At 49.1% G+C, this 16,297-nt stretch overlaps 1 protein-coding gene across 31 annotated transcripts in view, besides 1 other annotated feature; it reads right to left on the reverse strand.

Moving 5' to 3' along the window:
• The window catches only part of PITPNM2 (phosphatidylinositol transfer protein membrane associated 2), a 168,369-nt gene that overhangs the window by 27,694 nt on the left and 124,378 nt on the right, over window positions 1-16,297 (reverse strand). For 20 of the 31 annotated variants that reach the window (XM_047429206.1, XM_047429208.1, XM_047429216.1 and 17 more), the window contains 2 exons: window positions 2,655-2,869; window positions 1,440-1,561 (listed from right to left, as the gene is read on the reverse strand). In XM_047429206.1, coding sequence (XP_047285162.1) covers window positions 1,440-1,561; window positions 2,655-2,869 — 337 coding nt within the window. Of the gene's footprint in view, window positions 1-1,439; window positions 1,562-2,654; window positions 2,888-10,507; window positions 10,676-16,297 lie in introns of all 31 variants that reach the window. The other 11 variants (XM_047429215.1, XM_047429211.1, XM_047429204.1 and 8 more) reach the window with 3 other exon arrangements.
• Window positions 389-1,309: an enhancer, noted in NCBI's record as "H3K4me1 hESC enhancer chr12:123496109-123497029 (GRCh37/hg19 assembly coordinates)". NCBI's record gives its function as "activates a minimal SCP1, AML or CMV promoter by ChIP-STARR-seq in naive H9 embryonic stem cells {active_cell/tissue: H9 hESC(naive)}" and the evidence as "EXISTENCE:reporter gene assay evidence [ECO:0000049][PMID:30033119]".

Raw genomic sequence — 16,297 nt, forward strand, 5'->3', positions numbered from 1 at the left:
TTTGCGGTCGGTTCTGCTCTAGCCAGGCCCTTGGCTGCCTCATTTTCTCCAATGTGTGGGCCCCTCTGTATCCAGGCTGCAGACTGCAGACACAGACATCAGCTCCACCAAAATCAGCAGGGTCAGGAGCAAGTCTGAGGACCACAGAATGCCAGGAGGGATGAGCACTCTTCCTGGAGCAGACCATATGCCCTGCCCATGTGAGCCGGCAAAGACCCTGCATGGGAAATGTCACAGAGACTTAGGACCCATGGCAGCTGGCCTCAGAGGGAGCCTGCAGAGCTCTGGCAGTGTCAGGGCTGCCTGCTATGGGAAGAGCTATGTACACCCCAACCCCAATTCCTACGCTGACGTACTGAACACAGTGCCTCAGAATGTGATCTTATCTAGAGATAAGGTTTTCAAAGAGGTAATCAAGTTAAAAGTAAGGCCATTAAGGTGGGTCCTAACCCAGTATGACTGGTGTTTTTATAAGAAGAGGAGACAAAGAGGTAGACAGACACAGAGGGGAGTGACCATGTGACGAACGAGGCAGAGATTGGAGGGATGCTTCTACAAGTCAAGGAGCACCAAGGACTGCCGGCAAGCAGACACTGAAGGGGCCTGAACAGAGTCTTCCCCAGGGGGAAGAACCCACCATGCTGTGATCTCAGACTTCTGGCCTCCAGAGCCCCGAGAGAATAACTGTGTGTTGTGCAAGCCACTCATGCTATGACGCTTTGTTTCGCAGACCCAGGAAATCCCAGCAGAGGTGGGGGGGTTGGGCCTGGAGCAGCTCCTGGGCCATGGACACCCACCCCCAACCCGCATGCCCTGCCTGAGATGCCTCCACAGTGACTTGGGCCTTGTACCCAGAGGCTGCAGGAGGGTGGCTGCTGAGCTGCACTGGCCCACATATGTGTTTTGTTTCACTGGCATACATTTATTTACAAAGATTTTTAATTGGTTGCTAACATTTAGTATTGGGAGATTTCTCATGAACATCCTTATCACTGGCTTCTCTTGAAAATGAAGATTTAACAAATGGGGCCCATCCCCTACATGTCACTGTCATCTGGAGGTAGTGGGTAGGGCACCCACCATCAAGAGGACATAGACCCCATTATGTGCCGGGGGCACTTGTGCATGGCTGTCAGCTAGAGATGGATGCCCGAGCCCATATGTACTTCTGGGGAGTAGGGATCCCGCAAAGGGATGGAGGGAAGCAGCTCTGGGTGGAAAAGGCACTTGGACTTGGTGTATATATCAGGAGAATGGGGCTGAGAAGGCCTGCCCTGCCTCCCCCATGGGCCCCATGCTTGCTCCAACTCTGACCTGCCTGCCCAGGACAGGGCCAGGTCTGGAGTCTACCAGGTGTGGGGAAAAGGGGCAGGACAAGAGGGACCTGTGGGTAGGAAACCCAGAGTACAGCCCTGTGGGGCTCTGCCCTTCCTGGTTACCGATTGTCAGCTGGTTCTTTTCCACAGGAGAGAGGTTGAACACGTCGGGGTTTTCTCCAGCATCAGTTTTATAAAAGGTTTCAATGTCGATGGAGAATTTCTCCACGAAAGGACAGGTGAACCTGTGCGGAAAGGAAAGCACTCATCAGGACCTGTCCTTGGAGAGGCCCAGTGTCCTGGCCAGGGCCTGTTGACCCACTGGGTAGGAGTGGAGCTGGTGAGCGGGCATGGAAGGAGGGTGGAGGGTAGCCGAGACTTGCCTGCCCTGTCCACCTCTTGGATCGCCACTTTGTCCCAAGAACAGCCAGGATGGGGGCAGGGAAGGATTTAGGGGGAGCAGAAGACAGTGTATCCTCAGTGGCTTCTAGAAGCCCCATGTCCAATGTCCACAGCATGGCAGGAACACGGGCACAGCTATGGCAGCATACTGCCAAGCAGGAGGAAGCTGGGGTGCTCCATGGGGCATGCCACCTCTAGTTCCCAAGAAGCCAGCTCTGACAATGGGGGAATAGCCTCTCTCTAGGCTGGAGATGAGCTTAGAGGGGAAAGTACTACTGGGAAGAGGAAAAAGCTCCGTGGATCCCTCAGCAAGCTCCAGGTGCCCACCAGCGTGGGGAAGGGAGCCCCAGGAGATTTGTGGGGACCCCACCTGCTCAGCAGTAGACAGCTTGTGGGACCAGCTCCCATCTATTCAACTCAGCAGTGATAAGCTACACACTGCAGGGCACAGAGTGAAGAACCCTCTGCCAGGGAATCCCAAGGACAGCCCTGCTCAGCATGGGATGTGGGACAACACTGTCACAGCAGCTGAAGGTCTCAGAGTTGGAAGGGACTTCTGGGTCATCTGTTCTACCCTCAGTTTCTTTCCAGAAGGCTGTCTCAGCCTTCTTAGGGAGCCTGAAGTGGGTTTACATTCCCTGCATCTTCTGGAATGGCAAAGGAGTCTCCAACAGCCCTCGCTTGACTCACGCCTTCATGGCCTCCACACGTAGGCAGTCAGGAGGCATCTAGGGGTATATCCTTCCCTCTCTTGCCTGTGCCTGCCCTAGGTGACCTTCGGGGCACCTGTATGGAACAAAGCCTGGGTTCCCTGGGGTTATGGGTTGTTGAACCTGCTTGAAGGCTGATCCCATCCCCTGGATCTATGCCACAAGATTGCTTCCCGCCAGATGGCATGTGGAGGTGGGAGGCACATGGAGGCCAAAGCAGGCGCACCTGGTTCGGGTGTAGGGGTAGGCATTCCAAGACTCCTCCACCACCCGCAGGGCTGCCTTGGGCAGGATGGAGCGGAACCAGCTGGGAATGTGCATGCCCACATGATACACCTTGTGTGTGTACTGCCCAGAGCCGCCTGGGCCATCTGTGTACGGCCGGTTCTCCAGGATCTCCACGCCGCTGCCTTCGCCATATGTCTCGTTACGGCTCTTCTTCTGTGGGGACAAAAGCACCTGCAATGTGTGTGGGGCCAGAGCACTCTTCAGGAGGGAAGGGGCACAGGAGACTGGGCCCAGGGGTGTGGAAAGGGAGGAGGGGCTTTGGTCAACGAGGCTGGCTCCTCCTGTGTCACTTCCAGGCCCCCAAATCTATATGCCAGGGCTTGTGCAAGAGGCTGAAGGGGCCACAGACTCCCTCTCCCAGACCTAGTGCTGCACACACAAGTCCTATATTCTGACTCCCACCTGTCCCAGGACTAAAAGCGTTCCCAAGATCAGGAACAAGACAAGGATGCCCACTTATTTGCTTTTCCTCAATATTGTGCTATAAGTTCTAGCTAAAGCAATTAGACAAGAAAAGGAAATAATAAGAGGCAACTGGGCACATTGGGTCACGCCTATAATCCCAGCACTTCAGGAGGCTGAGGTGGGCAGATCACTTGAGGTCAGGAGTTTGAGACCAGCCTGGGCAACATGGTGAAACCTTGTCTCTACTAAAAATAGAAAAATTAGCCAGGCATGTGGCACATGCCTGTAGCCCCAGGTACTCAAAGGCTGAAACAGGAGAATCGCTTGAACCCGGGAGGCAGAGGTTGCAGTGAGCTGAGATCACGCCTCTGCACTCCAGCCTTGGTGACAAAGTGAGACTCTGTCTCAAAAAACAAACAAAACAAAACAAAACAAACAAAAAGAATAAGAGGCATCCAAATTGGAAAGATAGAAGTAAAACTATTTCGATTTCCTGATGCCATAATCTTATATATGGAAAATGCTAAACAATCTCCACCAAAGCCTGTTAGACCTAATAAATAAATTCAACAAAGTTGCAGAATACAAAATGACACATAGAAATGAACAATGTCAAAGAAAATTAAGAAACAATTCCATTTATAATAGCCTCTGAAAGAATAAATACCTAGGAATATATTTAACCAAAGAGGTGAAAGACCTGTGCACTTAAAACTACAAAATGTTGCTGAAAGAAATTAAAGTTCTAAATAAATGGAAAGACATCCCGTGTTGATGGATTGGAAGATTTAATATTGTTAAGATGGCGACACTGCCCCAAACAACCTACAGATATAATGCGATCTTTATCAAAATCCCAGCAGCTTTATTTGTAGAAATGGAACAGCTGATCCTAAAATTCATATGGAATTACAGGAGACCCGGAAGAGCCAAAACAATCTTGAAAACAAAACAAAACCAAGCTGGAGGACTCACACTTCCCTATATCAAACCTTACTACAAAACTACAGTAATCAAAAAAGTGTAGCACTGGATAGGATAGACAAATAGATCAACAGACAGACAGACAGAATATAATTGAGAGTCTAGAAATAAACCATATATCTATGATCAATTAATTTTTGAGAAGGGTGCCAAGACCATCCAATGTGGAAATAATAGTCTTTAAAAAATGGTGCTGGGACAATTGAATAACAACATGTAAAAGAATGAAGCTGGACCCTATCTCACAGCAGATACAAAAACTCGAAATGAATCCAAGATTTACAAATAAGAACTAAAACTATAAAACTATAAGATGCTTGAGAAATGGTAGTTTAAAAAAAGAAATAAAATCACAAAATGATAAAACAGAAGAAAACTGGGGCAAACAAGGTCATCTTTATGACCTTGGATTTGGCAATGCTTTCTTAAATATGACACCAAAAGCACAAGCAACAAAAGAAAAAATAGATGAACTGGACTTAACTGAAATTAAAAACCTTAGTGTATCAAAGAGCACTATGAAGAGAGAAAAAGACAACCCACCAAATGGGAGAAGACATTTGCATACCATGTATCTGATAAGGGACTTGTATCCAGAATATATAAAGAACTCCTAAACTCAACAACAAAACAACACAATTCAAACATGAGCAAAGGACTTGAATAGCCATTTCTCCAAAGAAGATATACGAATGGCCAATAAGCAATGAAAAGATGTTCAACATCACTATTCATTAGGAAAGTGCAAATCAAAACCACAATGAGGGCCAAGTGTGGTGGCTTATGCCTGTAATCCCAGCCATTTGGGAGGCCGAGGCAGGCAGATCACTTGAGGCCAGGAGTTAGAGACCAGCCTGGCCAACATGGTAAAACTCCGTCTCTACTGAAAATACAAAAAGTAGCTGGGCGTGGTGGCACACTCCTGTAATCCCAGCTACTCGGGAGGCTGAGGTAGGAGAATTGCTTGAACCCAGGAGGCAGAGGTTGCAGTGAGCCAAGATCGCGCCACTGCAGTCCAGCCTGGGTGACAGAGCAAGATTCTGTCTTTTTTTTTTTGATATGAAATCTCGCTCTGTCACCAGGCTGGAGTGCAGTGGCATGATCTTGGCTCACTGCAATCTCCGCCTCCTGGGTTCAAGTGGTTCTCCTGCCTCAGCCTCCCAAATAGCTGGGACTATAGGTGCCCACCACCACATCCAGCTAATTTTTTGTATTTTTAGTAGAGATGGGGTTTTACCATGTTGGCCAGGATGGTCTTGATCTCTTGACCTCATGATCCGCTCGCCTCGGCCTAAGACTCCGTCTCAAAAACAAACAAAAAAACAAAAAACACAATGAGATAGCACCTCACACCCATTAAGGTGGTTAGTATTCAAAAAAACCTAGAAAAAAGAATCAATGCTGGTTGGCATGTGGAGAAACTGGAACCCTATTGGTGGGAATATAAAATGGTGGGAATGTAAAACTGTTGAAAATAGTTTAGTAGGCCAGGTGCGGTGGCTCACGCCTGTAAGCCTAGCACTTTGGGAGGCTGAGGTGGCTGGATCATGAAGTCAGGAGTTTGAGACCAGCCTGGCCAGCATGGTGAAACCCTGTCTCTACTAAAAAAATACAAAAATTAGCCGGGCATGGTGGTGTGTGCCTGTAGTCCCAGCTACTCAGGAGGCTGAGGCAGTAGAATCGCTTGAACCTGGGAGGCGGAGGTTGCAATAAGCCGAGATTGTGCCACTGCACTCCAGCCTGGGCGACAGAGTGAGACTCCATCTCAAAAAAAAAAAAAGAAAAAAAAAGAAAAGATAATAGTTTAGCAGGGCAGGCATGGTGGCTCACTCCTGTAATCCCAGCACTTTGGGAGGCTGAGGCAGGTGGATCACTTGAAGTCGGGAGTTCGACACCAGTCTGGCCAACATGGTGAAACACCGTCTCTACTAAAAAAATACAAAAATTAGTCGTGTGTGGTGGCGCATGCCTGTAATCCCAGCTATTTGGGAGGCTGAGGCAGGAGATTGCTTGAACCCAGGAGGCAGAGGTCACAGTGAGCCGAGATTGTGCCACTGCACTCTAGCCTGGGTGACAGTGAGACTCCATCTCAAAAAAAAAAAAAAAAGTTTAGCACTTTCTCAAAAAGTTAAACATAGCATTACCATATGACCAGCAATTCCACTTCTGGGTATGCACCCAAAATAACTGAAAACAGAGACTTGAACAGATACTTGTACACCAAGCCTTCAGATGACTCCAGCCCTACCAGCTGCTGCCATGTATTCACAGAAAAACCTGTACACCAATGTTCATTGCAGTATTATTCACACTAGTCAAAAGCTGTAAACAACTCAAGTGTCCATCAACAGATGAATGAATAAAATGTGGTCTATCCATACAATAATAGAATATTATTCAGTCACAAAGAGGAATGAAGTAATGCTACATACCACAACATGGATGAACCTTGAAAAGATTCTATTAAGTGAAACAAGCCAGACACAAAGGACCACATATCCTGTGATTCCATTTACATGGAAAGTACAGAAAAGGAAAATATATAGAGACAGAAAGTGAATTAGTGGTGGCCTGCTGCTGGGGAACATGGGGGAAATGAAGAGTGATGCTAATGGGCGCAGGGCCCTCCCTCCCTCCATCCATCCCTTCCTCCCTCCCTCCTTTCCTTTCCTTCATTTTCTTTTCTTTCTTCCCTTTCTCTCACTTTTCCTTCCTTCCTTCCTTCCTTCCTTCCTTCCTTCCTTCCTTCCTTCCTTCCTCCCTCCCTCCCTCCCTCTTTTCTCTCTCTCTCTCTCTCTCTTTCTCTTTCTCTCTTTCCTCTTGCTTTGTCACCCAGGCTGGAGGGCACTGGCATGATCACAGCTTGTTGTAACCTCTAACTCTTGGGCTCTAGTGATCCTCTCACCTCAACCACCTGAGTAGCTGAGACTACAGGACCATTCCACCACATCTGGTTAATTTTTTAAAATAATTTAATAATTTAATAATTTTTAATTTCTTTTCTTTTTTCTTTTCTTTTTTTTTTTTTTTTTTTGAGACAGAGTCTCATTCTGTCACACAGGTTGGAGTGCAGTGGCACGATCTAGGCTCATTGCAACCTTCGCCTCCCAGGTTCAACCGATTCTCCTGCCTCAGCTTCCCAAGCAGCTGGGATTACAGGTGTGCACCACCATGCCTGACTAATTTTTGTATTATTAGTAAAGACAGCGTTTTGCCATGTTGGCCAGGAGTTTGGGGTCTCAAACTCCTGACCCCAAGTGATCCGCCTGCCTCGGCCTCCCAAAGTTCTGGGATTACAGGCATGAGCCACTACGCCCAGACATGCTCAACTAATTAAAAAATTTTCTTTTGTAGAGAATGGAGTCTCACTATGTTGCCCAGGCTTGTCTCAAACTCTTGGCCTCAAGTAATTCTCCTGTCTCAACCACCCAGAGCTTTGGCATTACAGGCTGGTACAGGTTCCTTTTTCTTTTTCTTTTCTTTTCTTTTTTTCCTTTCCTTTCCTTTTTTTTTTTTTTTTTTTGAGACAGAGTCTCACTCTGTCTCCCAGGCTGGAGTGCAGTGGCGAGATCTCAGCTCACTGCAACCTCTGCCTCCCAGGCTCAAGTGATTCTCCTGCCTCAGCTGACCAAGTAGCTGGGATTACAGGCGTGTGCCACCAAGCTTGGCTAATTTTTATATTATTAGTAGAGAAAGAGTTTTGCCATGTTGGCCAGGCTGATCTCAAACTCTTGACCCCAAGTGATCCACCTGCCTCGGCCTCCCAAAGTGCTGGGATTACAGGAATGAGCCACCGTGCCTGGCTGGTACAAGTTTCTTTTGAGGTGATGAAAGTGCTCTGGAATTAGGTAGTGGTGATGGTTGCACAACTCTGTGAATATACCGAGAACCTTTGAACTGTACACTTTAAGTGGGTGAATTATATGGTGTATGAATTATAGCTCAAGTAGCTGTCAAGTTATTTCAAAATCCCGTGGGTCAAGGGGGCCTGAGGGGTTTGCTGAAGAATGTTCTGTTGCTTGGCCTGGTGCTGGTTACACAGGCATATTCACTTTTTGCAAGACCATCAGGGTAGACACTTATGAATCATAAACTTTTCTGTATATATACAACACTTGAATAAAAAGTGAAAAAGAATTAGGAATGAAACTGGGAAAGAAAAGTCTGCAGGCTGCTCAGAGCACCCCACCTTTAGAACACCAGGCCGATGAGGGCCCTGCCACTCAGCCATCTCCCTGACACAGCTCCAGCACACCACTATGAGCTGACTCTTGCCAGGCAGCAGGGTCTCTGAGAATGAGCAAGCGCTCCTCTCTCCCTCCAGGAAAGCCGCAAGCCCCATCAGCCAAATAGTTAAAGCTGAAATAACCCCAAATAGCAAAATCCCCCACCCAGTGGAGGGCCTGTGCAGCCCTCACCCAGAGGAGTTCACAGAAAGTAGAAGAAAGAGATGTCATTGTCCAGGCTGGTCTGCTTTGGGAAGAATCATCCCTGCTCCAGACTTGGAGTACGTGGAAGACCTACCCCAAAGAGAACAACTATCATGTGATTAGAAGACATGAGGGGAGGCCTTCACTCAGCCTCAGGGGGGTCAGGGAAAGTGACCTGCAGGGGAGCTGGGAGGTGGGGAGGCACTCACCAGGCAGGGGTGGACAGGACAGATATGCTGGGTAGGGAGGCAGGTGACAGAGCTGAAGGTCTGTGTCTAGAGGGAGCCCTGGAAGCGTGTGGACTCAGTTGCCTGGGTGTAGCCTGCGAGGCAGGAAGTGGCAGGGAAGGGCCTGGGAGCTAGGCAGAAGCCATATCACAAAAGTTTTTTTATTTTTTTATTTTTGTTTGTTTATTTGTTTTGAGACAGATGAGACAGAGTCTGGCTCTGTCACCCAGGCTGGAGTGCTATGGCATGATCTCGGCTCACTGCAACCTCCGCCTCCCAGGTTCAAGTGATTCTCCCACCTCAGCCTCCCGAATAGCTGGGATTATAGTCACGCGCCACCACACCCAGCTAATTTTTGTATTTTTAGTAGAGATGGGGTTTCACCATGTTGACCAGGCTGGTCTCACACTCCTGACCTCAAGTGATCTGCCCGCCTCCGCCTCCCAAAGTGCTGGGATTACAGGAGTGAGCCACTGTGCCCGGCCATAAAAGGAGCACAGTTTTGATGCTAAGGGAAGGAAAGGGTTTAAGCAGGAGAGGAGCACAATCTAATCTGGGTCCCAGGAAGAACGTCCTGGTACATGTATAGAGAATGGGAGATCCCCTGGCATGGGCAGCTGCCCACAGGGGTGTTCTTTCCTGGGTTTAGATAGGAGGTGAGGCCCCCAGCTCCGGGAGCAGCAGGAGATGCCTCTGTGCTCAGCAGGTAGGCCAGGTACTTAGCGGCTTTATGAACATGAAATCTTGGTAGCTGAGGGCAAAGGAGAGAAGGGAGAGGCCGGGCTGCAGTTGAAAGTGGTCAGTGGGCGAGGCACAGTGGTTCATGCCTGTAATCCCAGCACTTTGGGAGGCTGAGGCAGGCAGATCACCTGAGGTCAGGAGTTCGAGACTAGCCTGGCCAACATGGCAAAACCCTGTCTCTACTAAAAACAATAATAAAAAAAAATAGCCAGGCGTGGTGGTGGGTGCCACTAATCCCAGCTACTTGGAAGGCTGAGGCAGGAGAATCTTTGAACCTAGGAGGCAGAGGTTGCAGTGAGCTGAGATCATGCCATTGCACTACAGCCTAGGCGACAAGAGCGAAATTCCATCTCAAAAAAAAAAAAAAAAAAAAAAAAAAGAAAGTGATTAGTGAGCCCAGGTACACTTGGTACACTACAGACCAGTGACTCAGCCTTTTCCTGCCCACCATGGTGGGATAGAGGCCCCATGCCCCTGCGCAGCCACCCACCCTGCCCATGGGCTGAGATCTGCTCCTTACCCTGTGCCCAAACATGTCCTGTGCTCAAACTGGGTAGAGGCCACAAGGTCCAGGCAAAAGGGAGCCACATCTTTACCATGTGGGCCACAGGGGCCCCAGCCCTGTTTACTGAGGACCCACCTGCTGAGAATTTCAGTTTATTTATTTATTTATGAGATAGGGTCTCAATCTGTCCCCCAGGCTGAAGTACAATGGCATGATCATGGCTCACTGCAGCCTTGACCCCCCAAGCTCAAGCAATCCTTCTGCCTCAGACTCTAGAGTAGCTGGGACTACAGGCGTGCACCCCACCACACCCAGCTAGTTTTTTATTTTTTTGTAGAGTGCCTTGGTCTCTCAAAATGCTGGGATTACAGGAGTAAGCCTCTGTGCTCAGCCTGGGAATCACAGTTTCTAAATCAAGCCCCACTGCGGTGTCAGGTGAAGACCATTCCCCTTGAACAGCAAGCTGCCCTTCCCTGAGGATGTGGGGCATGGAGTTTACCTTCAGCTATCAGGGTCCAAGAGGGGCTCCCTCTCAGGGAGGTGGCAGAACATGCGGGCTTAGAGCATAGTTTCTGTGGTTCAAATGTCTGGGTACAAACCCTCCTCTTTTTCTTTCTTTCTGTGTGGTCTCTGATAAGTTAACCTCTATATGTCATCATCTCCCCATCTGTAAGAGGAGGAGAAGCAATAGTACTGGCTAGGTTGTTGAGAAAATTAGATGCGAGCATGTGTAGCTGACGTACACAGGATGAGCTCAGGTTGTGTGCACACTCAGCAGCAGGGAACATCATCCCAGGATGCCACGCCCTGGCTTTATCCCAGCAAGGAGAGTGGCAGGGGAATCGCCATGGCTCCAAAGCCAGATGTCTCCATGGCTTCAAAGTTCCCCTGAAGGATGGAGTGAAGAGCCAGGCCTGGAAAACCCTTCATTTCCGGTGCTCAGAGGCTCCCGGTACAGCCAAGAGGTGCGGGGAAGGGCGGTGAGGAGGGGCCAGGCAGCACGGCTCTCCGCTCAGCCTTTTTCTGGTCCTGGATCAGCCATTGATGTCAGCACTTGGGCTAAAAGGACAGGGCAGAGGAGTGCAGCTGGGTCTCAGCTGTGCCTCTGATCAGGATGCGGCTGCGGAGGAAGGCCCTTTTCATAGCTATAGGCACCAAGACCGCTCGGAAGACCCACAGAGCATCAGACACCAGCGCTCCTCGTGCACACTAGGGCTGAGACTCAGATAGCGGCCACAACTGCTCAACTGTCATTATCAGGAGCCAATGCAGGCAGGGAGAGAGGGCTTCCTGGAAAAAGAGGCTACCAAGGGAGGCAAAGAGCATGAATGAGAGCCCCAAGCAGGAGATCTCCTGACCCTGTCTCAGTTTACAACTTGCCTTTGCACCCACCTGTTCTCTGCACTTCAGAGCCCTGAGATGTTGTGGGATCATGCTCCCCACTCCACAAGTAAGAAACTGAGGCACAGAGTACTGGAGCCAAGTCTCCCAGGCCATGAGTGACTGTGGTAGTGCAGAGACAGAGAAGCAGCCACAGATTGCATTAAACTGCAGAAACCTGCATGTGCATCAGAACCCCCAACCCCTACCTAATAGGCACCAGGCATGGTGGGTAGCTGGTCTGGCAGGAATTGAGGGGAAGGGGAGGTCTGTTCCTGAAGGAGGGGCACCGGCCAGATGCCACATCTACACTCAGGGATCTGATGTGCCCTGCCTCTTCCCCCAGGGCCCTCCACCCAAACCTCCCTCCCCAGAGCCCCGCTGGGACCAAGCAAGGCGGGCTGTGCTCTGCTTGTTCTCCCAGCTCCCTGCCACAGGGGCATGACTCTGTCTCCTGGCTGGGCCAGCAGCTTCTCCTGCCCATTAGCCCTGACATGGAATTTATTGCACAGCTGAATGAGGTAGGCAGTTCGAAGCACAGGCTGGGCTGGGGCCAGCTCACTGGAGGGAGGGGACAGCTAGGAGTGGCCCTTGCTGCCAAAGAGCCTGACCCCAGGGTAGAAATGTGTCTCCTGGACTTGGTGTATGGCGCAGGGAACTGAGGGCTGTGCTCCCTGTGAGGGGCTCACTGAAGCTGCCACTCAGAATGTCAGTGCGCAGGCGTGCATGCGTGCACACACATGTGGCGTGTGTGTGCATGCAGGAGCCAAGGCCCATGGATTCAGGGCTCTTCTGGGTGGAGCAGAAGGTGCACGTGACCAGAGCCATCTCTAGAGAAGGCAAAAAATGGAACCAGGAGGACACTTACAAAGACATCCTCAAGATGACCTACTTGTGGTATACATGGGGAAACTGAGGGCCAGGGACTGGAAGCAACATGTTTGGGCCACAAGCTGGAGGGTTAGAGGTAGCTGGCGAGGCAGAAGGGATTCTGGTGGGACTCCTGGGCAATGCACAAGTCCACAGACTCCCCAGAGGACGCCACCTTCTCACTGGCTGCTGCCAACAGCTCATTAAAAACACGTTCTCCTAAATGTAAGGGCTCAAACTATAAAACTCTTAAGAGAAAACATAGGCATAAGTCCTATGAACTTGAACTGGCAATCGTTTTGGAGCCATGACACCAAAAGCACAAGCAACAAAAGAAAAGACAGATAAACTGGACCTCATCAAAATTAACAACTTTTATGCTTCAAAGGACACTAAAAAGAAAGTGAAAAAACAACGTACAAAATGGGAGAGAATTTTTATATACAATATATCTTATAGTAACTTATATCCAAAATATATACAGAACTCCTCCAATGCAACAACAGAGAAACAACAACCCCATTCAAAAACTGGCAAAGGAGCTGGGCATGGTGCTGTACACCTGTAGACCTAGCTACTCCAGAGGTGAAGTTGGCAGGATGGCTGGAGCCCAGGAGTTCAAGGTCAGCCTGAGCGACATAGCAAGACCCCATCTCTAAAAAAATAGTAAGAATAATAAAGGCAAAGAACTTGAACAGACATTTCTACAAAAAGATTATACAAATGGTCAACGAGCAAATGAAAAGATGCTCAACATCATTTGTCATTAGGGAAATGCAAATCAAAACCATAATGAGATACCACTTCACACTCACTGGGGCGGTTAAAAAGACACACAGCAGCAAGTGTTGTTCAGGGTGTGGAGCAATGGAACCCTCGTACATTGATGGTGGGAACGTAAAATGGTGCAGCTGCTGTGGCAAACAGTTTGGCGGTTCCTCAAAAAGTTAAACATAGAGTTACCATATGACCCAGCAATTCCACTCTAGGTAAATATCCAAGAAAAGGAAAACATATGTCCACATAAAAACTTATACATGAATATTTATGGCAGCATTATTCACTGTAGCCAAAAAGTGGAAACAACCCAAATGTCCACCAACAGATGAATGGGGAAACAAACTGTGGTCTACCATGGAATGGAATATTATTTGGCCATAAAAAGTAACGGAGCACTGGCACATGATACAAGAGGGATGAACCCTGGAAATATTATGCTGAGTGAAAGAAGCCAGACACAAAAGGACACATATTGTATGATTCCATTTATATAAAATACCCAGAATAGTGGAATCTATAGAGACAGAAAGCACATTATTGGTTGCCTGGGGCTGGGGTGAAAATAGTGATTTCTTTTTTGGGGTAATAGAAATGTTCTAAAATTGATTCTGGTGACGGTTGTACAACTCTGAATAGGCTAAAAACCACCGAACTGTGCACTTTAAATGGATGAGTCATGTGGTGTGTGACTTATATCTCAATAAAGCTGTTATAAAACAAAACAAACAGAAACCAATCCTGCCTTTTGTACTAAGATCAAAAAAATCAAATGTGGCAAGCAGGAAGGGGCCTCGCTGGCACTGTGAGAGAGACATGGGTCACCTCTAAGCATCTCTCTGCCATGAATGTCCCTCCCCGTGTCCAAAAGCTCAGTTTTCTGCTTATGCAGGAAACCTCATGTTTGAGGCAGTGGCGACTTTAAGCCGAGCATCTGTTTCCATGGTGACATGATGGGCTAGCCAAGGGCATCCTCGGTCAGCTTCCTGAACAGCAGGTGTGTATGTGTGCGTGCATACACCTAGGCACACAGATGCACATGCATACACAGCCACAGGCCTCTCTAAGGCACAAAAAATGTGCTATATCTCCATGGCCCAGAGCGATTGAGTCCCCTTCCAAAACAAAAAACAGACAAGACTCTGGGTGAGGCCATAGGTGAGGTCAGGGCAGGCATGTGTCATCTCTCCCTCTTTAAAAGAGCTCCTGGAATGTGGACCAGATTTTTTTTTTTTTTTTTTTGAGACAAAGTTTCGCTCTTCTTGCCCAGGCTGGGGTGCAATGGTGTGATCTTGGCTCACCGCATCCTCTGCCTCCCGGGTTCAAGCGATTCCCTGCCTCAGCCTCCTGAGTAGCTGGGATTACAGGCATGAGCCACCACACCTGGCTAATTTTGTATTTTTACTAGAGATGGGGTTTCACCATGTCCATCAGGCTGGTCTCGAACTCCCAACCTCAGGTGATCTGCCTGCCTCGGCCTCCCAAAGTGCTGGGATTACAGGTGTGAGCCACCGCACTCGGCCTATGTGGACCAGATTTGTAGTGAAAACAGCAAGCTCTTCCTGGATGCTCTAAGCTCCCACCTCTTCCAGTAGCATCATTTATTTGTGGCTATGCTAAGTGCTTTGCATGTACATTCTCCTTTAGTTACTGCAACATCCCCTTAGGAAAGGTGTATTAGCACTATTACCCCCAAGTCACAGATGAGACGATCGAGGCTATGAGAGGCACAAACTTGTCCAAGGTCACACAGTTACTAAATGGCAGAGCCAGGCCTTGAATTCAGACCTGTGTCATTCCAGAGCCTGCTCAGCCCAAAGCACCAAGGTGGCTCAAGGAAAAGACCTCAGCATAAGATAGGTGCTCCGTAAATTCTTATTGAACAAATAAATGAATTCTAGTCCCAACTCTGTGACCAGCTCCCTCTCCTCCTGGACAAGTCACTTCTCTTTGGTGTCAATTTCCAAACTCTAAGTGGAGACAGGACTACCTATCTGTCCATGCCCTGGCGTAATGGGTGGAATGTCCCCACCAGGCCCTTGGAATGTGACCTTATTTGGAAATAGGGTCTTTGCCGATGTAAATGGAGTGACGTGGCCACAAACTAAGGTATGCTTGGAGCCACCAGAAGCTGGAAGAGACAAGGAAGGGTCTACCCGTAGAACCTTTGGAGGAAGTGCAGCCCTGCGGACACCTGCCTCTCTGGTTTCTGGCCTCCAGAACTGTGAAAGAATAAATGTCTATTGTTTCAAGCTATGCAGTTTGTGGTTCTTTGTTATGGCAGCGCCAGGAAATAAGATACCTGGGATGCTGGCAGGCTCAGTGAGAAGGTGTGTAAGACAGGGGGTCCAGAGCTGCCTGCAGGAGTTTCTTTGGGCAGAGGCCTGGTGACCCACCTGCCAGCAGCTGAGGGTGGAGCCAGGACAGGGGCCAGGAGGGTCCCTTCCACCTTGGCCTTGCTGGGTGGCTGCGCAGAAGCCCCTGCCCACTCAGGCAGACTTCACGCCTTTTCCAGGACAGCAGGCTCACCCAGTAGCATCCTGTGCGGTCTAGGGAGGATGCCTCCTGCCTCTTCCAGCTGCTGCTGGCTCCCAGTGCTCCTTGGCCCATGCTGTATCTCTCCAATCTCTGCTTCATCTTTCCTGTGTCTTGGTCCTTTCCTTTTCTTATAGGGACACTAGTCATTCATTCAGGGACCTCTCTAAATCCAGAATGATCTCATTTCAAGATCCTTAACAAATTACACCTTCAGAGGCCCTATTTCAAAATAAGGCCACATTCTGAGACTGCAGGTGGATGCAGATTCTGGGGGGGACACTGGTCACCAGTGGGGTGAGTGCCCACAATGGCCTCCTGTGAGTGAGCTTCAGCCTGCCTGCTGGAGAAACAAGCACACTACACTGATGGCCCCCCACCTGTCCCTCATCTCTCGGTGGGGCAGGTGGAGTCCTCACCACCTCCCACCCAGCCCTTGGCCACATACATCTTCAGTCACCAGCACTTTCCCCAGTGTATGGTGACTCTTCATGCTGACTCCAGTACCCCTGGCCTTGCCACCCATAGGTGACCCTGTGCTATGTGTAGCTCTGAGTATCTGAGCACTGGAAGGCAGAGCTGTGAAAGGGAGAGCACTGGCTTCAGAGTCAGACAGGGTGGAGAGCATGTAACCTCCAACAGCTGGAACTTCAGAGAAGGGGTGAACTAGGAGACCTCAAAGTGCTCCACTAAAAGCAATGTGAAAAAGGCAGCCCACCACATCTCT

The sequence above is a fragment of the Homo sapiens genome, chromosome 12, assembly GCF_000001405.40.
Source record: "Homo sapiens chromosome 12, GRCh38.p14 Primary Assembly".
In the NCBI taxonomy this organism is placed as follows: domain Eukaryota; kingdom Metazoa; phylum Chordata; class Mammalia; order Primates; family Hominidae; genus Homo; species Homo sapiens.